At 49.8% G+C, this 24904-nt stretch overlaps 1 protein-coding gene across 2 annotated transcripts in view, besides 2 other annotated features; it reads left to right on the top strand.

The window, feature by feature from the left end:
- The window catches only part of CNGB1 (cyclic nucleotide gated channel subunit beta 1), an 88789-nt gene that overhangs the window by 30006 nt on the left and 33879 nt on the right, over positions 1-24904 (top strand). For both annotated transcript variants that reach the window (NM_001286130.2, NM_001297.5), the window contains exons 15-21: positions 802-889; positions 1531-1693; positions 9245-9407; positions 17743-17850; positions 20579-20736; positions 21869-22024; positions 23647-23855. In NM_001286130.2, the coding sequence (NP_001273059.1) occupies positions 802-889; positions 1531-1693; positions 9245-9407; positions 17743-17850; positions 20579-20736; positions 21869-22024; positions 23647-23855 (1045 nt within the window). The remainder of the gene's footprint in view (positions 1-801; positions 890-1530; positions 1694-9244; positions 9408-17742; positions 17851-20578; positions 20737-21868; positions 22025-23646; positions 23856-24904) is intronic.
- Positions 665-1492: an enhancer, noted in NCBI's record as "H3K4me1 hESC enhancer chr16:57973535-57974362 (GRCh37/hg19 assembly coordinates)". NCBI's record gives its function as "activates a minimal SCP1, AML or CMV promoter by ChIP-STARR-seq in primed H9 embryonic stem cells {active_cell/tissue: H9 hESC(primed)}" and the evidence as "EXISTENCE:reporter gene assay evidence [ECO:0000049][PMID:30033119]".
- Positions 1493-2320: an enhancer, noted in NCBI's record as "H3K4me1 hESC enhancer chr16:57972707-57973534 (GRCh37/hg19 assembly coordinates)". NCBI's record gives its function as "activates a minimal SCP1, AML or CMV promoter by ChIP-STARR-seq in primed H9 embryonic stem cells {active_cell/tissue: H9 hESC(primed)}" and the evidence as "EXISTENCE:reporter gene assay evidence [ECO:0000049][PMID:30033119]".

Here is a 24904-nt window from a genome sequence, read left to right as displayed (position 1 = left end):
ATATTAATTTGAATTATCAGCATCTAAATATCAGACAACTTTACCTTAGAAACATATATTTCAGGCTCTGTTTGAAAATGGAATGATCTGGCCACCTGGGCCCCCTTTTCCAGCGGAGTGGGGTTGCTGCCTTCAAATGGACATGGGTTCGCTAATTTGCCACAGCCCTCCCTGCCCACTGCACCCTCACCCCTGGCCCTATCACTTATGTATGCCTGCTGCTTGGGCCCGGCACCCATGAAAACTTCAGCAGTTGCAGTGGCTCTGATCTCATGGCATGGGAAGAACCAGGGCCTGGGTTTGAGGTTTGTGTGGTTTGGGACAATTTGCTGTGTGATTTTGCCAGGTCACTTCACCTCTCTGGGCCTCACTTTTGTCATGCTCTACCCATCACCAAGATTGCCTGGAGACTGGGAGACCCCAGATGACAGCTCCTCCAACCGTCCTCCATGCATTTCTCGCACATGTTGTTCTCATTTCCTGGACAACCTTTTCCTCCCCACCATTCTTTGTGGTAAAATCATCATCCTGGAGGCTCAGCTTACAGGCCACCTCCTCTAGGAAGCCCTCCTTCCTAGCAGAGTTGTGGCATGTCCTTCACAGTGCCTTGCTGAGTGCATGTCTCAGATGGGGTGATTGTTAGTAGGACACTGCCCTGGAGGCTCCTGAGGTTGAGACTGGTTCTTGGGCATCTCTGTACCCTCCGCTCCTGGCACAGAGCGTGGCCCTCAGCAGGGCTGGGGAAACCTTTAACACCCTAACCCAGTCCTTTTATCCTCCCCACCCCGCCCCGGGTCACAGGGTGCTGCTGGATAGCTGTGTGGTGTCGCAGGTGGGCGTGGGCCAGAGTGAAGAAGACGGGACCCGGCCCCAGAGCACTTCAGATCAGGTATGAGAAGCACCAGGCACTGGCACCTCTGAGGCCTGGCTTGGCATTGGTGGAAGGATGGGGACCTTGTCCACTTTGCTTACAGGGGGAGTTTTGGCTGGTAAGATGCCCGCAGGACAGAGGGAGCAGGGTGGCGGGTCCTGCGAGGCCCCCTCTTGGCAGGGGTCAGATAGCGGCCCAGGCCGTGGGTGGGGAGACGGGTGGACCCAGCTCGAGTCCTCCTGTGGGTGCCTGGCTTGGGGCAAGTCGCCTCCCCACTCTGGGTCCCAGTGGCCACCTGTGCACGAGGGGGCTACAGACGCCTCCCTTGGGCCTGTAGGAGGACCCAAAAGGGCTTGCACACTGTGAAGAGTGGTGCTGTCGATGCTTTGTTCCCCCATGTGCCAGGCTGCGAGTGTCCCTCATCACAGGTGACACGTCCAGCTGTTAGGACCCGTAGGTCCTGGGTGCACTGCCCTCTACAGGTTGTAGGCTACTCCCAGGATGCCCAGAAGGTGGGCTGGCAGGACCTGACTGGCTGGGCAGGGCAAGAAGCAGAACTGGGCCCATGTGGACTTCTGAAGGCAGATCTAACAGGAGCTGCTGAGACTAGGGCTGGGGGCTGATGGTCACAGTTTCTGTTTTCACTTTATTCTCTGCAGAAGCTGTGGGAGGAAGTTGGGGAGGAGGCCAAGAAGGAGGCTGAAGAGAAGGCCAAGGAGGAGGCCGAGGAGGTGGCTGAAGAGGAGGCTGAAAAGGAGCCCCAGGACTGGGCGGAGACCAAGGAGGAGCCTGAGGCTGAGGCCGAGGCTGCCAGTTCAGGAGGTAGGTGTGGTGGTGGTGGTGATGGGTTGCGCAAGAATGTCTGAGGTCCTTTTAGGCTGGAGGCAGCCTTCGTGCAGGGGCAACCCCTCCTCCTCTCCCTCCATCTCCTTCCCCCCATTGCCCCCTCAGCCACCCTGTCTTCAGGAAAATCCCATCCTTGGTGTCTTGGGGCCACATTATCAGAGCCTACTGATACATCTCAAAGGTTCTAAGGAATTTCACTGAGGCCCAGGACTCCCAGTGGCGCCGGGGAAATCCCGATCCCAGCCAACTCCTTCCTTCCAGCCTCTCCCTGCCAGCCCCTCCTGCAGGCCCCTCCTAACCAGCCCCTCCCAGCCAGTCCCTCCTGCCAGCCTCTCCTGCCACTTCCGCTCAATGAGGATGCAGCTCTTGGGCTACCGCCCAGTGAGGGTTTGGCTCAGACATCACATAGCTGAGTGAAAACTGGAACCAGAACTTCCTAACAGAGTGTCCTGGACTCCATGTCTCTTTATGAGCTTTTCCTGATCTCCAGCTGTACCCAGCACATACATTTTGCTGTGATTTACCACCCTGCCCTCAATCCTGAGAACTCAAGCAATGGCGGAGAAAGAGTCCCAAGGAGTCCAGCAACAGCTGGACCCTGGAGCTGGGACAGGTGGGACCCAACCCCTGGCCGGCAGGTGTTGCGTGCCTTACACTCCACATTCCCCACGCAATGGGTCTTCAGCCGCTCTGTGAGGCAGACAGACCATTTTACAGATGAGAAAACTGAGGCTCTGTGTGTGCGGATTTGGCCAAGAGGTCAAGGCACAGACCTGCATTTCACTCCTGGCTCCTTTCTCTCTTCCTTGCTGTGTGACCCAGAGCCAGTTCTGTGACCTGTCTGAACCATGACTTCCAAATCAAGAAAAAAGGGGCAATAATAGTACCTAGCTCACAGGTTGCTGGGCAGAGTAGGGGAGACAATGTGTCCAAGGCACCCCAAACTGTGGCTGGCACTGAGGGAGGAGTCAATATTGGGACGAGGATGTGTCTCGGCCAGCGAGTGGTTGAAATGGGACTGGACCCAAGTGTCCTAACCCTGGGTATCCTGAGCTTGCTCCCTACTTGGTCTTTGAAAAGTGTTCTCTGTTAACTTCAACACATATTTATAGGAATTCCTACTAAGTCCAGGCCTGGGGCTGGGTCCCCACATGGATGAAAAAGACCAGGAGCAAACAGGTGCAGGCTTGGTTCAGTGGGGTGGGTTCTGCCCCTTCCCAGGTGATTTGGAAGCAGGTGGTCTGGGACCCACACTCTGAGAAATGCTGAGGCATAGCCATTTGCACTCAAAAGTATGGACCTAGACCCAGCAGCTTTGGCGTAACCCAGGAGCTGGTTAGAAATGAGTAACTTGGGCCGCGATCCAGACCTGCTAAATCAGACTCCTCGTGGTAACAAGATCTCCTGGTGATTTGTCTGCACATTTGTGTTTGAGGGGCAATAGCCTTGAGCCCTGGTCCTCAAACCTGACAGCCCATTGGAATCACCTGGGGAGATTTAAAAATTCCTGCTGCCAGGCCTCATCCCAGCCATTAAGTCAGAATCTCTGGGAATGGGCCTGGGTAACAGAAATTGTCAAACCTTCCCAGGTGATTCCAATGCACAGCCCAGTTGGGGAACCAGGGCCATAGGAAGAGTTACTGCTTCTGGTTGGAAGTGAAATTAGTTGACCTCCAGGGCTGCTTTGGACTGGAAAATTCTACCAGGCTAAGAATGTTCGAGTCCTGGGTTTCTTGGGTCTAAGAATCTGAGATTCTGTGAGTTCTGGGTTCTTTGATTCTAATATTTTTGGGAAATGCTGCCGGTGGTTGGTAAGTGGAGGGAGCATGGGAAGTTGGGGGCCTCCTGGGCTGTCCCTCGGTGCTCCTGGGTGGGCCAGCCACATGACCTGATGACACATTAGACGTTGAACTCCAGGGACAAGAGCGATGCTTCTGGCTTTGGGTAGCACTGCTGAAAATGCAGGTAGGCACCAGGCTGGTCGTGTTAGGCTGGTGGGAGGACCCCCACCTATTGTCTCCTCCAACTCTGTGCTCCTAATTGCAGTCCCCAGGGTCACTCCTCTGCCTGAGACTCTCTGGCCCCAGCACCATGGCTACACCATGTCAGAACATGGAGCTGAATTGCCTAGTCCAGGACCAGATACCTGGCCAGGTGGCCTCTGCCTCTGCCCTCCAAAACCTGGTAGAGCATCTCCCTAATGTGCCCAGCTACCGCATCCCAATCACCCGCATCCCTGTCCTCACCTCCCGGAGAACCAGCTTGTCCAACTCCAGCTTCGCCAAGGAGACCAGGAGCTCCATCCGCCAACTAGGTAGCACGATCTTGCCCACCCAGCATTCTCATATCTGTGGCGTGTGCTTCTGCATGGCTGGGGCTGTCTTCCTGCCTGGGTGCTGTGGTCATAGTGTGGACCACTAGTTGCTTATGGAAAACCATCTCCTTTTCCTCTGCCGATCAATACCTTCATCCTGCTTTGTGATAGTGACTTGAGGGGTTGTAGCCCCCTTCTCTTCCTGCCTAAAATTCCACCACAATTAGCAATTCATTTATTTTTTTCTCTCTCTTTCTCTTCCTCTTTCTCTCTTTTCTTTTGTTTTTTTTTTGTTTGTTTGTTTTTTGAGACAGAGTCTCTCTCTGTCACCCAGGCTGGAATGCAGTGACATGATCTCAGTTCACTGCAACCTCTGCCTCCCAGCAATTCTTGTGCCTCAGCCTCCCGAGTAGCTGGGATTACAGGCATACGCCATCACGCCTGACTACTTTTTGTATTTTAGTAGAGACGGGGTTTTGCTATGTTGGCCAGGCTGGTCTCAAACTCCTGATATCAAATGATCTGCCCACCTCGGCCTCCCAAAGTGCTGGGATTACAGGCATAAGCCACTGTGCCTGGCCAGCAATTCATTTCTTTGGGTTAAACATATATTCCTTTCTTTAGGCACATTGTTTTTATACAGGTAAAACCTTATAAACCTTAGTTTAAACAAGTCACTTGCTCAGATCTCTAGGCCGAGAGGCTTGGACAGGGAGTCTGGGATCGGAGTGGAGGGGAGTGAAAGGAGGGAAATGGAATAGAAGAGTAATGTGGGTGCTGATTGCAGACAGAACCCACTGACCTTGACAGTTTGCTGCTCAGCAAATTCCATTTCAGGAAAGAAGCTCCAGGTGCAGATAGTCATCCTCAGAGGCTAGGGTGGAGGGAGGGCTGTCTGGATCCATTGATTGTGACAAGGTCCCCGTAGTGGCCTTTGGGCTGCTACTGCTCACTCCCTGATGACAAAGAGCTCAGGAACATACTGGCACCCTGGACTAACCCCTGTCACTTTCTGACTTAACCCAAGCCAGACATGCCTGCTTGCCCTTTTGATTGGCTTGTTTGTTTATTTGTGGTTGACACGGTGCAGAGCTGCCTCTGAGATCAGTCCAACCAGGCAGGACAGAACATTTCACGGGAAGACGTCCACTGTTGTCCTTCTCTCCTCTCCCTGGCTTGAGGTGGGCACAGAGAGGAGATGAGGTGGCATGGAGGTCATCCAACAGTAAGGGGTGCCACCCCGGCCTCCATCTTCTGGTAGGCAAGCCTTGAATCTACTACTCCAAAGCAGCCCACCCCTATCATTGAGGATGCTGAATTGCTTAAAAAAAAAAAGAAAAAGGAAACAAAGCAAAAAGACCCCAAAGCATCCCCCAGCTCCCACCGCCACAGGCCACTCCCTGATAACTGCTAAATCTGTACCAATTCTATTTTTTTTTGGGGGGGGACGGAGTCTTGCTCTGTTGCTCGGGCTGGAGTGTTGTGGCACCATCTCGGCTCACTGCAACATCCGCCTCCCGAGTAGCTGGGACCACAGGTGTGCACCACCTTTCCGGGCTAATTTTTGTATTTTTAGTAGAGACAGGGTTTTGCCATGTTGGTCAGGCTGGTCTTGAACTCCTGACCTCAGGTGATTTGCCCACCTCAGCCTCCCAAAGTGCTGGGAGTACAGGCATGAGCCACTGTGCCCGGCCTCAATTCTAATTTTATTTGCTTACTATTTTTCTTTCAGTGGATTCTCTTTTTTATTTAATTAAGTATATTTAAACAGGAAAACTTTATTACTATTCAAATGGAAAACCAGCATTGCTTGCCATAAACAGAGGCATAAATAAAAATAACCTCAAATACACTGAAAACACAATGGTGTTGCTGTTTTCTAATGAGACGGATGGGCCTGCTGCAGGCTCGAAGCTGGGCCTGCTCTGTTAGCCACAAGTGGGATTAGGCTGTGTGAGAGAGGCTCTAAGGCCACAGTGGCACCGACCCGAGACTTCCTCTCTGGGTATTCACTAAAAGAGGGTGTAACTTTTTTTTTTTTTTTTTGAGATGGAGTCTTGCTCTGTTGCCCAGGCTGGAGTGCAGTGGCGCGATCTTGGCTCACTGCAACCACTGCTGCTTTTTTTTTTTTTTTTGAGACAGAATCTGGCTTTGCCACCCAGGCTGAAGTGCAGTGGCGCAATCTCAGCTCACTGCAAGCTCCGCCTCCCGGGTTCACGCCATTCACCTGTCTCAGCCTCCTGAGTAGCTGGGATTATAGGCACATGCCACCAGGCCTGGGGAATTTTTGTATTTTTAGTAGAGATGGAGTTTCTCCATGTTGGCCAGGCTGGCCTCAAACTCCTAACTTCAGGTCATCCTCCTGCCTCAGCCTCCCAAAGTGCTGGAATTACAGGCGTGAGCTGCTGCGCCCGACCAGGAGTAACATTCTTATTCTAGGTTATACTTTGCCTTGTCTGTACCATCTGAGATCATCTCGTGTCCTCCCCAGTCTCTGGGAGCCCCACACTTGGGAAAATGTTCCCGGGGACACATTGACACAGGGGGCTGATCTAGCTGTGCTAGAGTACATGATGATTCTAGATGCTACAGACAAGGTAATGAGAAGCTGTAGTAAGAACATTACTTCCATTTTATTTTATTTTTTATTATTTTGTGAGACAGGGTCTCGCTCTTTCGCTAAGGCTGGAGTGTAGTAGGCGCGATCTTGACTCATTGCAGGTTCTACCTCCCAGGTTCAACCTATCCTCCAACCTCAGCCTCCCAAGTAGCTGGAACACTGTGACCAGCCGATTTTTGAATTTTTTTGTAGAGGTGGGGTTTTGCTATGTTGCTCAGGCTGCTCTTGAACTTAAGGGATCCTTCCACCTCAGCCTTCCAAAGTGCTGGGATTACAGGCATGAGCAACTGTGCCTGGCCCCCTTTACATTTTTAACAACTTCTCCATTCCTGCTCATCCTCTTCTCCAGAGGATTTAGGGTTCACTCCATTAAACTATAGAGTAAGTGTAAGCAATTTAACAGAGTGCCGGCTTTTCTTATAAAGGCCATTTGAAAAAAACCCCATATCGGCTGGGTGCGGTGGCTCATGCCTGTAATCCCAGCACTTTGGGAGGCCAAGGCCGGCAGATCACCTGAGATCAGGAGTTCAAGACCAGCCTGGACAACATGGTGAAACCCCGTCTCCACTAAAAATACAAAAATTAGCCAGGCGTGGTGGCAGGGGCCTGTAATCCCAGCTACTCAGGAGTCTGAGGCAGGAGAATGGCTTGAACCTGGGAGGCAGAGGTTGCAGTGAGCCGAGATCACACCACTATACTCCAGCCTAGGCGACAGAGCGAGACTCCATCTCAAAAAAAAAAAAAAAAGAAAAGAAAAGAAAGAAAAAGAAACAAAAAGCACATATATAATTATTTCAAAATCTCCCTGCTTCCCGCTTTTGGGGGGTGTATCCCTGCCTGCCTTGCTGGTGCCCACACCTGTGCCCAGCTGCTATTGGGTAGACCCCCCTAGGTGTAGGGGAGAAGGAGGAATACTATCCCAGCCTCTCAGTATCCTCTGAGCTTGGACTTGGGGCAGACCTGTCCCTGCAGTCCCTGAGGTGGGTGATGGAGCCCAAGGTAGGGCCACGTCCAGGCTCCCTGGAGAGGACCTGATTCTCAGAATGTGGGACACAGTACAGGGCCTCTCAGAGGTCCAGAGTCAGGCTAGCTGATGAATTTGGGGGCCCCTGGCATGTACAAGAACAAGGACATAACCAAGCAGTTATCCAAATAGGAAGTAGCACACACTACACAGTCTGTTACCCTTGATTGGAGGGACCCTGCAAATGTCTCCATTTGATGCTCTTCAAGAATGTGAGGCCAGCCGGGCCCAGTGGCTCACGCCTGTAATCCCAGCACTTTGGGAGGCCAAGGTAGGTGGATCACCTGAGCTCAGGAGTTCGAGACCAGCCTGGGCAACATGGTGAGACCTCATCTCTACACAAACACAAAAATTAGCCGAGCATGGTGGTGTGCGTCTGTGGTCCCAGCTACTCGGGAGGCTGCCGGGAAGATCACTTGAGTCTGGGAGGCAGAGGTTGCAGGAGGCAGAGGTTGCAGTGAGCTGCAATCGTGCCACTGCACTCCAGCCTGGGTGACAGAGTGAGACCCGCCCCCCCTTCTCAAAAGCAAACAAATAAAATAATTTTTAAAAAGAATGTGAGGACTTGGCTGGGTGCAGTGGCTCACACCTGTAATCCCAGCAACTTTGGGAGGCCGAGGCAGGTGGATCACGAGGTCAGGAGATCGAGACCATCCTGGCTAACACGGTGAAACCCGGTCTCTACTAAAAATACAAAAAATTAGCCGGGCGTGGTGGCAGGTGCCTGTATTCGCAGCTAATTGGGAGGCTGAGGCAGGAGAATGGCATGAACCCTGGGAGGCGGAGCTTGCAATGAGCCGAGACTGTGCCACTGCACTCCAGCCTGGGTGACAGAGCAAGACTCTGTCTCAAAAAAACAAAACAAAACAAAACAAAAACTAGCCGGGCGTGGTGGCGGGAGCCTGTAGTCCCAGCTACTCGGGAGGCTGAGGCAGGAGAATGGCATGAACCCAGGAGAAGGAGCTTGGGGTGAACTGAGATTGCACCACTGCACTCCAGCCTGGGAGACAGAGCGAGACTCCGACTCAAAAAAAAAAAAAAAAAAAAGAATCTTTAAGAATGTGAGTACTTGTGCCTTCTGGCTCCTCCCCACAGGCCTGGGAAGGCATGGTCACCCTAACTTGGGGTGGGGAAACTGAAGCTCAGAGAGGGGAAGCAGCTGACTCAGGCTGTGCTAGGCCAGGCGCCAGGACTCTGGCTCTCCTGTGTCCTCTCTGGGGGCTGCCACTGCCTCAGCTCTTGGAGCTTGCTCAAGTGCAGGGAAACCAAACTGGGCTTTGAGAGCTAGGAGAGCTGGGCTCCAGGCTGTGTAGGGGAGCTCCCGTGGTTTCTGTGGCTTTGTGGCTTCTTTCGTGGCTCCTGGGCTGGTGGCTGTGACCCTCAGAGGACCCCAGGCACCACGTTCCTGTACCCCCTGCATGGAGCTTTTCTGTGTGCCCCATTGGGAAGTGAAGCTATCAGAGTCCCCTCCAAACATGCTTTCTCTGGTTTTCTTCAAGAACACAGCTGGACTCCTGGGACCCAGCTTTTGTCTCTCTCTGACTTTCTCCTCTCCTTCCTCTCCCCCAGTGCCTGCCACGAAACAGCACCCAGAAGTGCAGGTGGAAGATACTGATGCTGATAGCTGCCCCCTCATGGCAGAAGAGAATCCACCCTCAACCGTGTTGCCGCCACCGTCTCCTGCCAAATCAGACACCCTTATAGTCCCAAGCTCAGCCTCGGGGACACACAGGTTACCTTTTATGCTTCTCTTGGGCTTTTCTCGGCACTGTGCCACCTGTTTATTTGGCAGATGAAGAGACTGAGGCCAGAGGGAGAAGCAGCTGGACTAAAATCACACAGCGAGTTGGTGTCAGAAGTGGGACTATGATGCCCCTTCCTCGTTTTCCTAACTCCTGAATTAGGTCTCTTATAAAAGCTCTCATGGGAGGCCCTGTCCCAAATGCCCTCAGCTATAAGTTAGAAGGAGTAATATAATAAATAATATAGTAATAGCGAGGCACGGTGGCTACTGCCTGTAATGCCAGCGCTTTGCGAGGCTGAGGTGGGTGGATCGTTTGAGGCCAGGAGTTTAAGACCAGCCTGGCCAACATAGCGAAACCCCGTCTTTCCTAAAAATACAAAAAAATTAGCTAGGCATAGTGGCTCACTCCTGTAATCCCAGCTACTCGGGAGGCTGAGGCATGACAATTGCTTGAGCCTGGGATGTGGCAGTGAACTGAGATTGTGCCATTGCACTGCAGCCTGGGCAACAGAGCAAGACTCTGTCTCAAAAAATAAAAAAAAAAAACTTTTTAAATTTAAAATAAATAAATAATATAGTAATACATAATAAATGTTACAGAATTAATTTCTACCTCCACATTTTATTTTATTTCATTTTTGATAGGATGCTATTTATTAAAACTTGCATATTATAACTCACCAAGTCTTTTTTAAAAAAAAAACTCTTAAATTTTAAGTGTACAGTACAGTATTGTTACCTATATGCACATTATTTACAGCACATCTCTAGAATTTTTCGTCTTGCATGACTGAAGCTCTATACTCATTGAACAGCAACTCCCTATTCTTCCCTTCACCCCCACCCCAGCCCCGGCAGCCACCATTCTACTTTTTCATTCTACTTTCTGTTTCTATGAGCTTGACTACTTTAGATATCTCATATATGTGGAATCATGCAATATTTATCTTTTTGGGACTAGCTTATTTCTCTTGGCACAATGTCCTTAAGATTCATCCACATTGTAGCATGTGACAGGATTTTCTTCCTTTTTTAAGGCTGAGTAATGTCCCATTGTATGGATATGCCACATTTTCTTTTCTTTGTTCTTTTATTTTCTTTTCTTTTTTCCTTCCTTTCTTCCCCCTCCCCCTTCCCCTCCTCCTTCCCCTCTCTCTCCCCTCCCCTCTCTTCCCCTCTCCTTCCCTCCCCTCTCCTGCTTTCTTCCTTTCAGACAAGATCTCTCTCTGTCACCCAGGTTGGAGTGCAGTGGTGTGATATTGGTCCACTGCAGCCTCAACCTCCTAGGCTCAAGCATTTCCCCTTCTCAGCTTCTCGAGTAGCTGTGACTACAGGCACATGCCACCACCCAGCTAATTTTTTATTTTTTGTAGAGATGGGGTCTTAGTTTGTTGCCAAAGGCTGGTCTCAAACTCCTGAGCTCGAGCAATCCACCTGCCTTAGCCTCCCAAAGTGCCGGAATTACAGGTGTGAGCTGCCAACACAGCCCACATTTTCTTTATTTATCTGTTGATGGACATTTATATTGTTTCCATCTCTTGGCCATTGTGAATAGTGTTACAATGAACATGGGAGTGCAAATATCTCTTTGAGATCCTGATTTTGATTATTTTGGATAAACAACCAGAACAGGGACTGCTGGATCATATGGCAGTCCTATTTATAATATTTTGAGGAACCACCATTCTGTTTTCCACAGTGACTATACCATTTTTCCTATTTCTCCACATACTTGTCAATGCTTGTTATTTTCTGTCTTATTTATTTATTTATTTTTTGGATCATGGATATCTTAACAGGTGTGAGATGGTATCTCATTGTGGTTTTGATTTGCATTTCTCTGATTATATGGTTTGGCTCTGTGTCCCCACCCAAATCTCCTCTCGAATTTTAATCCCCATGTGTCAAGGGACGGACCTGGTGGGAGGTGAATGGATCATGGGACTGGTTTTCCCCATGCTGTTCTCATGACAGTGAGTTCTCACGAGATCCAATGGTTTAAAACTGTGGCACTTCTGGCATTTAAAACTGTGTGGCCCCTCCGCATTTGCTCTTTCTTTCTCTCCTGCTCTGTCATGGGAAGATGTACCTGTTTCCATCTGCCTTCTGCCATGATTGTTTGTTTCCTGAGGCCTCCCAGTTATATTTCCTGTTAAGCCTGTGGTACTGTGAGTCAATTAAACCTCTTTTCCTTATAAATTAAAAAGAAAAAGTCTCTCTCTCTCTCCCTCTCTCTCTTTTCCTCTCTCCCTCTCTCTCTCTCTCTCTCACTGCTGTGTAAGATGTGCCTTGCTTCCCCTTTGCTTTCCTCCATGATTGTAAGTTTCCTGAGGCTTCCCCAGCCACGCGGAACTGTGAGTCACTTAAACCTCTTTCCTTTGTAAATTATCCAGTCTCAGGTAGTCCTTTATAGCAGTGTGAAAATGGACTAATACACCCAACGATTAGTGATGTCGAGTAGCTTTTCATATTCCTGCCAGCCATTTGTATGTCTTCTTTGGAGAAATGTCTATTCGAGTTCTTTGCCTATTTTTTAGTTAGGTAATGTGTTTGTTTGTTTTCATATTGAGGTGTAGGAGTTTCTTTTATTTATCAAATATATAATTTTCAAAGATTTTCTCCCATTCTGCAGGCTTTCTTTTCACTGTTGTTTCCTTCTATGCAGAAGTTTTTAGATGGAGATAATCCCACTTGTCTATGTTTTGCTTTTGTTACCTGTGCTTTCAGTGTCATCTACCCATTGTATTATTAGACAATATAATGTGGGCTGGGCATAGTGGCTCATGCCTGTAATCCCAGCACTTTGGGAGGCGGAGGCAGATGGATCACCTGAGGTCAGGGGTTTGAGACCAGCCTGGCCAACATGGAAAAACCCTGTCTCTACTAAAAAATACAAAAATTAGCTGGGCATGGTGGCACATGCCTATAGTCCCAGCTACTAAGGAGGCTGAGGCAGGAGAATCGTTTGAACCTGCGAGGCAGCGGTTGCAGTGAGCCAAGATCATGCCATTGCATTCCAGCCTGGGTGACAGAGTGAGACTCTGTCTGAAGAAAAAAAAAAGATAATAGATAATATAATGGAAACACCACAGAACACTAGAAAAATAATCATCTACAATCCCACCACCCAAGATGGTGTTTTTACTACTCTGCATTCTCCTCTATGCCTTGGTTAGGCCCATGGTCTTGAATGGTTTTAATTGGAGGAGGGATCCAGTTTACGGTGCTGTCTCATTCCATGAACCCTTTTCCATATTGCTGGGCTGTCTCCTTAATGCTCACTTATGATGGCTGTTGGGTATTCCTCCAGCTCCATGTGCCGGAATGAACTTAACAAATCCCCTCTTGTTGGGCCCTATCCCTAATGGCACCATGATCACGTGTTTGGTCTTCCGCTCTCTGCCCTTAGGCTCCTTTCTCAAGAGTGACACTCCTAGTCAAGGTGGTGCACATTTTTACACCTCTTCAGATAAATTTGTTGCTGAGTGGTTAGAGCTGCTTTTGGACAACTCAAGCCAGGTGCCTGGGAGAAGGCTGTGTGTACAGCTGGAGGCAAACTGCCAAGGGCAGGACAGTGCTTTATAAGCTAAGGGAGGCTGTCTGTAACTCTTCTGCACTGGTTGGATGTAGAGATGGTTCTTTCTTCTTAGTTAATTTTTGCTCTCATCCATGAGCTCCTGAGTAATTGCTCAGCTGAGGTCAGAAGGCTGTCAGAGTGGAGATGGCTAGGTGTAGCAAACTGAGGGCTGTGAGGTCTTAACACAGAGAAAAGAGACACAGTTTCACTGAGCCTTGGAGTACAGCTCACAACTTCATCAGTTCTTATGTTTAGTTCACTGAAGTATGTACAAAGCCCATTAGGGGATCCAGAAATGGCTCCACTTGTAGACATCTCTCCATTTACCCCTGTTCCCTTTATATGGGCAGGGAAACAATGAAGGCTGGGCTGGGTAGGGGGTGGCATATTTAGGGGAGGGAGGGGACCAAGATCATGTGTGGCTGGAATCTAAGCCTCTGGCTTTCTGCTTGTGAGCTGGGCCTGTGAGGCTCCTCTTGTCCCTGTCATTCATGCATTCGCAAGCATGTACTGAACATCTGTATGTGCTGGGCTCTGCCCTGGGTGCTGGGGATACATGAGGGAGAAGCCTGGCAGGGGCCTGCCCTCATGAGGCTGACATTCTAGAGGGGCCAAGATAGACAATGAACAAGTAACCAAATAAACAAGCAAGTGCCAGGTTGACTGTGACTATGAGAAACAGGGTGGGAAACCTCTGCCTGAGCCCAGCCCTGAGAGGGGAGAGTTCTGAGGCCTGCCTCTCTGTAGAGGCCGAGGGCGGTGGGGCTGACTGTGAGCAGGGACAGAATGAACATTGGGAGCCAAAAAGCCACAGAGGAGCTTGAGCAAGTCCCTCTTTCCAGCTTAAGGCCATGGCTTGGAGTGAATCCCAGAGCATCACTTGTAAGACGTGGGTCTTAAGGCAGGTCATTTAACCTCCCTAGGCCTCCATTTTCCCCGTGTAAGACGAGGAAAGAAACACCACCTGGTTACTAGAATTGTGAGAATTTAACGAGCTACTGCACCCTAAGGTACTGAGCACAGGGCCAGACACAGGCAGTGCTGGGGGACCAGAAGCTGCCAGCTTAGGTCCTCATTCTGGCTTCTCTGGGGCAGCTTGACTTTTGTGGGTTTTGTTTTGTTTTATTTTGTTTTGTTTTGTTTTGAGATAGAGTTGTGCTCTTGTTGCCTGTTGCCCAGGCAGGAATGCAATGGTCTCAGCTCACTGCAACCTCTGCCTCCCTGATTTAAGCGATTCTCCTACCTCAGCCTCCCAAGTAGCTGGGATTATAGGTGCCTGCCACCATACCCGGCTAATTTTTGTATTTTTAGTAGAGACGAGGTTTCACCATGTTGGGCAGGCTGGTCTTGAACTCCTGACCTCAAGTGATCTGCCCGCCTCAGCCTCCCAAAGTGTTGGGATTACGGGTGTAAGCCACAGCATCCAGCGGCAGTGTGCACTTTCTAGGCTCAGGAGAGTGCCCTGTGCTGGGCACAGGAGGATGGACTTTGGGTCCCAGCAATGGGGTTTTTGGCCCCAATCTTCTTGTGTGGGGCTGTTCTTGTTAATTACAGTGTGAAAAAAGTGAATCCATGAATTTTGCCATCCTCGGCGAGTTGGCAGAAGGCAACAGGATCATTTCAGAGCCTTCTGGAATCAAGGTGGATGTCACACATCCCTCCCTCTGGATCCCCCTAGAAATCCTAGTGGTACAATCCTGAGTCAAGATGATGAGGCTGGGGAAGAGCGCTGGCCTAGAACCCTGGCAGACTCAGGTTTGGGTCCCAGTGGAGTGCTGCGTCTGCACTGTGATGGCCTCAGTGACCCCTGCCCCAGTGTCCTCCTGCCCAGCTCTCTGATTGGCCCTCAGGGGCTGGAGTAGGAACCTCTGCTGAGGTGAGCTTCTTGGGAAGATGTGCAGATGTCAGCAGGTTTGGGCTGGGCCCCAGGGTGTGTTCTCAGAGGCTCCTCCTCTGACACTCCAGCTGGGGAAAGGGTGGAATTTGGGGACTGGCTGGAGTTTTCAGCTTCTGCTGGGAATTGCAGATTAATCACTAAAGATCCTTGTCAGGCTTGGTCCCAAGGTGAAGCTCCCTGCCTGTGGATTCCATTTCTGATCAAACCTCACGGAAATGAAGGCCCTGGTAAAAAGTAATCATGGCCGGGGGCGGTGGCTCATGCCGGTAATCCCAGCACTTTGGGAGGCTGAGGTAGGCAGATCACCTGAGGTCAGGAGTTCGAGACCAGCCTGGCCAATATGGTGAAACCCTGTCTCTACTAAAAATACGAAAATTAGCTGGGCATGGTGGCACCTGCCTGTAATCTCAGCTACTCAAGAGGCTGAGGCAGGAGAATTGCTTGAACCCGGGAGGCAGAGGTTGCAGTGAGCTGAGCTTGCGCCACTGCATTCCAGCCAGGGCAACAGAGCGAGACTCCATCTCAAAAAAAAAAAAGTAATCATGAACTTCCCTTGGGAAACCAAGGTCCCAGGACCTATTTTCTGGAAGTCAGCTCCACCATTTTACTTTCACAGAGTCACAGCTAAAGACCGAAGCAAGGCTGCCCTGTGTTCACCAAGGCTGAGGAGAGCCCTGCTGAGTGTAGCAATTGCAGCCTGACCTTCACAGCAGGTGCCCAGCCTCTAACCGTTTTCTAGTCCTACCACTCCCAACTTGCATTTTATTTTCATGTCCCCACAGCCAAGTTTCTCTTGCTGATTCAGCTGTGTGTACTACCATGTTATGCCCATTTTTGGTACACTCAGGTTCAATTCCTGTATTAGTCTATTCTTGCATTGTTGTAAAGAAATACCCGAGACTGGGTAATTTATAAAGAAAAGAGAGAGGCCGGGCGTGGTGGCTCATGCCTGTTATCCCAGCACTTTGGAAGGCTGAGGCAGGTGGATCACCTGAGGTTGGGAGATTGAGACTAGCCTGGCCAACATGGTGAAACTCCATCTCTACTAAAAAAAAAAAAAATTAGCTGGTGTGGTGGTGTACACCTATAATCCCAGCTACTTGGGAGGCTGAGGCATGAGAATTGCTTGAACCTGGGAGACGGAGGTTGCAGTGAGCCGAGATCGTGCCACTGCACTCCAGCCTGGGTGACAGAGCAAGACTCCATCTCAAATGAATAAATAAATAAAATACTAAAAAATAAAGAAAAGAGGTTTAATTGGGTCATTGTTCCACAGACTGTACAGGCAGCATGGCAGCATCTACTTCTGGGGAGGCCTCAGGGAGCTTGTACTCATGGTGGAAGGCAAAAGAAACAGGCTCTCACATGGCAGGAGCAGAACTGAGAGAGAGTGGGGAGGTGCCACACAGTTTTAAACAATCAGATTTCATGAGAATTCACTCACTATACAGTACCAAGGGGGGATGTTGCCAAACCATTCATGAGAACTCCGCCCCCGTGATCTAATCACGTCCACCAAGCCCCACCGCCAACACTGGGGATTACAATTCAACATGAGATTTGGTGCGGTCACAGAGCCAAAACCACGTCAAGTCCTAAACTCTCATCTTCATGCTACTGACTGATCTGATGCTCATCCTGATGTGCTTTCATGTGTGACATGCATACCCATGTCCCCAGACTCTTGGTTTCATGTGCTAACACTCAGCCTTCTGTGTTTTAAATGCTAATGGAAGTCATTAATAATGACCATTCTTCTCCACCAGGACTTCATTCATGGACATATGAAATGCTCTTCCTATTGGTAGATATTGGCCTGGGCGGAGTCCTCCAGACACAATCTTTGTGTTTCTACATCAGTTAGTTCTACTCTATCTTAAAGAGGATTCTTTCTCTAACACTGGAGCTTGGTTTCTTGGTGGTATTAAGGAATTTCTCTCTCTTGATCTTTTTTCCTCTTTCCCAGGCTTTTGCGTTTCTCAGTAAACCAATTCATTCTCTCTGCTGGGACAGAGGGTGGGAAAATCCAGAGAGTTAGCCCCTAAGATACCAACATAAAATAGTGTCAAAATCACCTCTTCCACCAAGTCAGACACCCAGGCTCCAACCTGCTGATGTCAGGCCAGAGGCAGGTTGGGCAAGAACCTTCTTGTCTCTGAAATTCAGGTGGATTTCAGATCTAGACACCATAAGCCAAGACACTAATGGCTCAAGAATGAGGTACTCCATGGCAGACTTGGACTTCCTGACTGATGGAGGACCCCAGGATCATTTAGTCCTCATTCTTCAGATAGGGAGCCTGGGGCTCAGGAGGGGATGGGACTTACCTAAGGTCACACCGTAAGGCGGAGACTGGATTCCATGGCTTCTCTGATAGCTGAAAAGGTGGTGTGATAGAGAGTAGAGGGGAATGAGGTGGGTGACTTTAGACAGGGAGCAGGAGAGGGGAAGGAAGTTGAAACTGAGAACTAAGTGATAAGTATCTCATTTACTTGAGTAGATTTAATCCCATTTTACAGAGGGGGAAACTGAGGTAACTCAGCATGTTTTGGTAATTTGCTGAGGCCACACACAGGTAAGAGGCAGGACTGGGGTGCAATACCAATGCTGTTACCTTTAGGCCAAGCCATTTAACAGATGGGAAGACTGAGGTCTAGAGAGTGGCTATGCCCCTCTCTTCTGCCGTTTTCCCTCCCTCCAGGCAAATGAGGACTCAGAAGTTCATGCTCCGCCCCCCATCCTCTATCTAGGAATTGGCTCTAGATGATCTTTAGGGATCAAAGTCATGACACTTCTCCCTGGGGCCTCTGCCTTTGCTGAAGGCCCCTTCCACATCTGTGTCTTTGCAGGAAGAAGCTGCCCTCTGAGGATGATGAGGCTGAAGAGCTCAAGGCGTTGTCACCAGCAGAGTCCCCAGTGGTTGCCTGGTCTGACCCCACCACCCCGAAGGACACTGAGTGAGACCCCTCTGGGGTCTCAGAAAATTGAAAGACTGCGGGGAGGGTGGGGGATGTGGGGGGGCTAGTGTGGATGCTTTTAGAACCTTCTACCGCAAGGCAGACTTTGCCAGTGGCTTCCGAGCAGTAAGTCGGGATCGGTCGCCTGCCCAGGCTGCTTCTGGCTGGCCCAGGAGTCCTGTTAAATCCAGTGGGCTCAACCTCTGGGCCCAGCTGTGTCCACGGCCAGCAGTGCTCAGAGAGGGAGGGATCTCTAGGCAGAGGTCCCCTTGTGAAGGAGAGGCTGAGGGGAGCTGCCTGCAGGGCTCCTGCTGCTGAACTTCTGAAAGGTCAGTGGGGACAGGGAGGACCACCAGGATCTCCAGTGGGTTCTGCCCTGGGGAGTTTGTGAAAAAAGAAAAAAAAAAAAGATTCCCTGGCCCTACCTGGCTGCGCTGGATCAGAGCTGCAGACAGTAGGCCTGGGGAGTTCACATTTTCCAAACTCCCCAGGGGATGTGGTGCAGCTGGCCTGCAGAACAATGTTTAGAAACCACTATGATGACGGCCAGGCGTGGTGGCTCATGCCTGTAATCCCAGCACTTTGGAAGGCTGAGGTGGGCGGATCACCTGATGTCAGGAGTTCGAGACTAGCCTGACCAATATGGTGAAACCCTGTCTCTAATAAAAATACAAAAATTAGCCGGGCGTGGTGGCACATGCCTGTAATCCCAGCTACCTGGGAGGCTGAGACAGGAGAATCACTTGAACCTGGGAGGTAGAGGTTGCAGTGAGCTGAGATCACACCTCTGCACTCCAGCCTGGGTGACAAGAGCAATACTTCATCTCAAAAAAAAAAAAAAGAAAGAAAGAAAGAAAGAGAGAAAGAAACCACTGTGATGGCATTGGGACCTGGGTCTCTGAGATCGAACTGTCCCCAGGGCTGGGCCAGTGGGAGGTTTCTTCCCGAAGGATCTGAGAAGCTCTGGTGGATGGCGAATACCCGGGCCCTGGGCTCTGCCTGGAATCCCCAATCACAGTCCTTGGCCATGACTCCTAGATGAGCCACAGGAGACAGTAGGCTTTCCTTCTTCCTTCCAGTCTTTTTTTCTATCCACAATTTTATGCAGTTTATGCTTAACAGAGCTGTGGAAAGTTAGAAAAGATAAGCAAGAAGAAGCCCCAACCCCACCCTCAGTCCAGTTGCCCACTGCAGCACGCAGTGGACTCACATTTTATGAGATAGGGTAGGGGTAGGGTTTAATATCAGAAACGAAGGCAGAAATGAGGTATAATGAGAAAACCTATTCTTGAAAACTCTTAAGGAGGTCACCTTGGAGACCCATGTATTAGCTAGGCAGGCTAGGCTGCTGGACCTCAAATGGACCTCAAAAGCTGAGTGGCTTAAGGAACTGTATCATATACCATCATCATCTCAATAGTTGCATGCATCAGGTCAGCAGAAGGTTCTGCTCCATGCAATCATTTAGGGACCCAGATGACAGTGCTCTGCCACTTTATCCATGTGCCTTCCCATGTCCCACTGGTCACCACTAGAAAGGGAGAACTCCAGGCCTGTCTTCAGTAAGGAGGCCCCTAGTTGCATGTATTGTGTCTGAGAGCTCACATTCCAATAGCGAGAGCCTGGCACGTGATCCCTGGCTGGGTGGCTATATCCCAGTGAGTGTGCACCACAGGAGAGAATGAGTGTAGGGGAGCAGCTCATGTCCCCGCCACACCTGTATGCCAGCTCTCATTAGGAGCCCCACACTTGGCCGGGCACGGTGTCTCACGCCTGCAATCCCAGCACTTTCAGAGGCCGAAGCAGGTGGATCACCTGAGGTTGGGAGTTTGAGACCAGCCTGGCCAACTTGGTGAAACCCCCTCTCTACTAAAACTACAAAAATTAGTCAGGCTTGGTGGCGTGCACCTGTAATCCCAGCTACTCAGGAGGTTGAGGCAGGAGAATTGCTTGAACCCAGGAGGTGAATGTTGACTGAGCCGAGGTCATACCACTGCCACTCCAGCTGGGCGACAAGAGTGAAACTTCATCTCAAAAAAAAAAAAAAAAAAAAAAGAGCCTCATTTTCTCCAGCCCGTCTTCCTCAGTTGAGCTCAAAAAGAGTAGTCGACTGCAGTTTCTGTGTCCTAATGTATGAAAAAAAAAAAGATAAAAAAGATATTCAGCTCAGCAAGATGATCTCAGTGAGGCTACTCAGAGGAAAGAAAGCAGTTTCTCTCTCTCTCTTGCTGACAGTGCAGAAACTTTAATTCCTGTAAGTTAAAGGGATATAGAATGTATCTGCACTGCTTTTTCCACCAGTTACATCCTAAGCCTAAAAAAGTAGGCCTGCTCCCTCTCTGTTCTGCCCCTGGACACATATCTCATGTGAACCCTGCACTGGGATGAACAGCCCAATTTTGCTGAACTCTAAACTGAGTTCCAAGAGTTTCCTCCTAAATTACAAGTGGAGTCACGCTTTTTCCAGAACTGCCCATCTGAATCAGAGCCTACGTGGTACATTTTCCAAAAGCTGGGCCAGAACACCTGGGCATTATTCCCGGACTGAATTTCCTTCTAGGTGATTACGGTAGGTCTGTGGTTTCTGATGTCAGAAGGAGATGGGGGCAGGACTTACCTCCTTCAGGCTCTGTCAGAAGGTGGGACACAGACGCTGCACAGCTCTGGCCTGGGGGTGCACAGGTCCCTCCCGGCTCAGCCTGCTCAGCTTTGGGTGATGTTCCCACAGTGGCCAGGACCGTGCGGCCTCCACGGCCAGCACAAATAGCGCCATCATCAACGACCGGCTCCAGGAGCTGGTGAAGCTCTTCAAGGAGCGGACAGAGAAAGTGAAGGAGAAACTCATTGACCCTGACGTCACCTCTGATGAGGAGAGCCCCAAGCCCTGTGAGTCTGGAGCTGGAGGGGGTCTACCTGGATGGGGATGGGGTGGGGCCTCCAAAGTTCCCTGTCAACTCATGGCAAGGGTGGCCCCAAGGAAATGGTTGAGGTCCATGAGAGAAGCCCAGATCCCCACTCTCTGGATTTGGGATCCATATGTACAGGTTGAGATATGTACCCAAGGGTGGGAAGATCAAAGTTCTGACCAACAATCCACTTGCACTCGGCCCTCTCTCCCATGGGGCAAGTGCCTTCCTTGACCCTTCTGTCCCTTTCCTACTGGTAGGTGAGTGGTGCCACCCCAAAATGTATCTTATGGTCTTACACTCAGATTGTGTGCACAGCCTGCTCTGGAACTAGGCAGTCCTATTTTTCAGAGATGTCAGTGCCTTGAAAGTTCTTATTGAGGCTATCCGAATTTTTCTTTTCTTTCAAGGTATCAGGAGGAAATAAGACACATGATCTCTTGTCAGGGAGATTTTTTAGATCTTTCCAGAGGAAGGCTGTATCTTGGAAATCATGGTGCCCACAACAGGCCATGCAGAGCCTGATGTCCCAGTCTTGAAGCTGGAAAACATAGCCATATTGAACCTATAAGAGCCAATCCCTAGACCAAAAGTATCATCATAGATGCACAGGGAGGCTGTGATCCCATCTGGTCTCTGTTTTTAGAGATGAAAGAGTTGAGATTCCCTCTCAGAAACCTGGAGCAATACTTCCTTGATTTTGTTAGGCCCTTCAGCATTCCAGCCATGGGTACTGGGAACACTGGGTACAAAATGCCCCCATCCCATCAGAGGGAACAAAGGGGGTCTAAGCACAACACACAAGCAGACATTGAAACATCCAACTGGCCCAGAAACAGCTCATTTGGGGCAGCTTCTGAGAAGCAGTTCCAGACTGTAATTGGTAAGAACTTCTGGGTGGGCACCCAGGTTGCTGTTGCTGTTGAGGAGGGTTGTGGAGTTCACTCCAGAAGAGCACCTTGGGTTCTGCACACAGAGCTTGCAGTAGCTTGTATAATGGTGCCAGGGTCCTCTCAGATCTGGATCCAAGGTCTGCAGTTGGGACCCTTCTCTCTGCATCCTCTACCTGGGCCTCAGGGCTGGTTCAGATGGTCACCAATGTCATCCCACAGCCCCAGCCAAGAAAGCCCCAGAGCCAGCTCCAGACACAAAGCCCGCTGAAGCCGAGCCAGTGGAAGAGGAGCACTATTGCGACATGCTCTGCTGCAAGTTCAAACACCGCCCCTGGAAGAAGTACCAGTTTCCCCAGAGCATTGACCCGCTGACCAGTGAGTCCTGGGGAATGGGTGTTCCCACTGTGTAAGATGAGAGAGCAGGAGAGTTGGAGCGGGATGGGGAGAGGGTCAGGGGATTCAAGAGGTGGGATGGGAGGCCACAGACAACCTGGGTTCATGATCTTTTATACCTTTCAAAAGTATTCCACAGTTTCTTGCCTGATTCTCAAAACAAACCCAGCCTGGCTAACATGACGAAACCCTGCCTCTATTAAAGATACAAAAATTAGCTGGGTGTGGTGGTGCACACCTGTAATCCCAGCTACTTGAGAGGCTGAAGCAGGAGAATCATTTGAATCCAGGAGGTGGAGAGTGCACTGAGTCAAGATCGCACAATTGCATTCCAACCTAGGTGACAGAGTGAGACTCTGTCTTAAAAACAACAACAAAAGTCCCTGGAATAGGAACATAAGATCATACCCATTTTACAGATGAGGAAACTAAGGTACAGATAAGTCAGCCAGGGTAAAGATGCAACTAGTTAGTGCGGACCCAGGACTCCTGACTCTTGGCCAAGTCCTTTTTCACTCTGGTCGTGCTGGCCTTTTCCTAGAGCTCCTGCTCTGAACAGAAAAAGAGCAGGAATGTGAATTCCTCTTGCTTCCCTTTAAGCCCACTTCATATTCCTCAGAAATAACCCACTTCATATGTGCATAGCACTTTAGAGTTTACAGAGGGCTCCCTGCCTTTCTTATCTGACCTTTTCCTGTGATTTCTCAGAAGAGGGCAGGTGCCAGAGAGGGACTTTCTCAAGGTCACACATTTGGGGGGCAGGACTTCAACCCTGGTGTCCACTGGATTCTTTAAATAACCTGATGGGCTGGGTACATTGGCTCACACCTGTAATCCCAGCACTGTGAGAGGCTGTAGTGAAAGAACTGCTTGAGCCCAGGAGTTCAAGATCAGCCTGGGCAACATAGTGAGACCTCATCTCTACAAAAATAGTAAATAAATAAATAAATAAATAAATAAATAAATAAATAACCAGATGATCTGGAATACCCATCTATCCATCCATCCATCCATCCATCCATCCATCCATCCATCCATCCATGCATTCACCTGTCTGTCCATCTATCTGTCCATCCTTCATGCATTATTTACTATTCTGTATTTACTGAGGAAGAAAATACATTTTGGGAAAAAATTAAAGAAGAATAAAAGCAAATGAGTTTTCCAGTTGGCTGCCTATTATCTTATAATACCAGCATAGTCCCTCCTGAGAGTACTCTGATTTATTAGGGATTAGCAGTAATTTATTTTTAAAACAGATAGTTGTGTTTTTTTTTTTAAGTAGAGATGGGGGTCTTGCTATGTTGTCCAGGCTGGTCTTAAACTCCTGGGCTCAAGCAATCCTCCCACCTAGGCCTCCCAAAGTGCTGGGATTACAGACATGAGCCACTGTGCCTGGCTCCTAAAGCAGAGAGTTGTGTGTGTGTGTATGTGTGTGTGTGTGTGTGTGTGTATATATACACACACACACACATACACACACTCTTACAAAAGTGCCACATGTAGTAGTTGAAGGAGTAGAAAGAACAAAACCCTACCTGATCCAACTGGTGAAGAGCCTTGCCTGGCTGATGCTCTAGCGTCCCCGTCAACCTTCCCCACAGACCTGATGTATGTCCTATGGCTGTTCTTCGTGGTGATGGCCTGGAATTGGAACTGTTGGCTGATTCCCGTGCGCTGGGCCTTCCCCTACCAGACCCCGGACAACATCCACCACTGGCTGCTGATGGATTACCTATGCGACCTCATCTACTTCCTGGACATCACCGTGTTCCAGACACGCCTGCAGTTTGTCAGAGGCGGGGACATCATTGTGAGTCACAGGCAGGTGGTGTTGGGGTGACCGGGGGCAGACCGCTCAGCCAGAGCCTCCAGGGCACTGACCCCTGATGCTGTCATAGATGACAAAATAAGTGAATAAGGAAATCTCAAGAACGGCTGCTGTGCTTGTTCAATAGCATGGTTGTTTATTTTGCATGCCTTTGATACGTTCAAATTACGCACATCAGATATTGCTCATAGGTGAAATAGTTCCTGGACCACTTGACAGAATCAAAGATAGAGAAGTGGTCCAGGGAATGGTCTTTAGTGAGGATGTACCTGGTTTGAATCCCACCTCCACCACAACTAGCTGAATCGCCTCTGTTTCCTCATCTGTAGAATGGGGCTAGTAATAGCTTCCACCTCCCAGTGTTGCCATGAGGATTGGTTGAAACGATGCATGCGGGGCGCTCAGCACAGGTATCCACTGGCAATTGACTTCTCCCAGGGGTCCTGCAAAAACACACTGATGCTCTCCTACTTGGGCCAATTTGAGACCCTGGCCTCTGGTCCAGCCCCGTGCACCACCCCTGCCTTACCAGGGAGGAAACTGAGGCCCTGACTGTGACTTCTCAGGAACAGGAGACACAGTCCCTGTCTCCCAGTGTGGGTCACTTTCCAAAATTCCACCCCGGCAGTGCCTGTTTTGCTGTGTGCAGACAAGCTCAGGTTTTGCCTGTAAACGATTTTCCTTGGAGAGATTTAAAGAGAGTAAAGTAAAAAGTAAAGAGATTTCCTTGGAGAACCTCTTTTCTGGCCTGATCAGAGTGACTACCAATTCCTTAGTAAACAGATGTGCAAATGGTCCAGGTAAGACCAATGGGCAGAGGGAATAAGCTTAATGTCCTTGCTTTCCACCCAAGAAATCAGGATCTAGCTGGGTGACCAGAACAGATCCCTCCTCCCTGGGGGCTGGGCCTCTCCACCCATAAAACTCAAGGCTTTCACCAAGGCTCAGATGGTCCTTGGGCTGTTATGCTCGTTTCAGGGTGGGGTTCTTGGGGAAGTTTCACAATTGCTCCACAGGGTCAGAGATTAAGC

Source organism: Homo sapiens, chromosome 16 (assembly GCF_000001405.40).
Source record: "Homo sapiens chromosome 16, GRCh38.p14 Primary Assembly".
Classification (NCBI taxonomy): domain Eukaryota; kingdom Metazoa; phylum Chordata; class Mammalia; order Primates; family Hominidae; genus Homo; species Homo sapiens.
The sequence above is the reverse complement of the archived record's forward strand: the minus strand, read 5'-3'. Positions and strand labels throughout refer to the sequence as shown.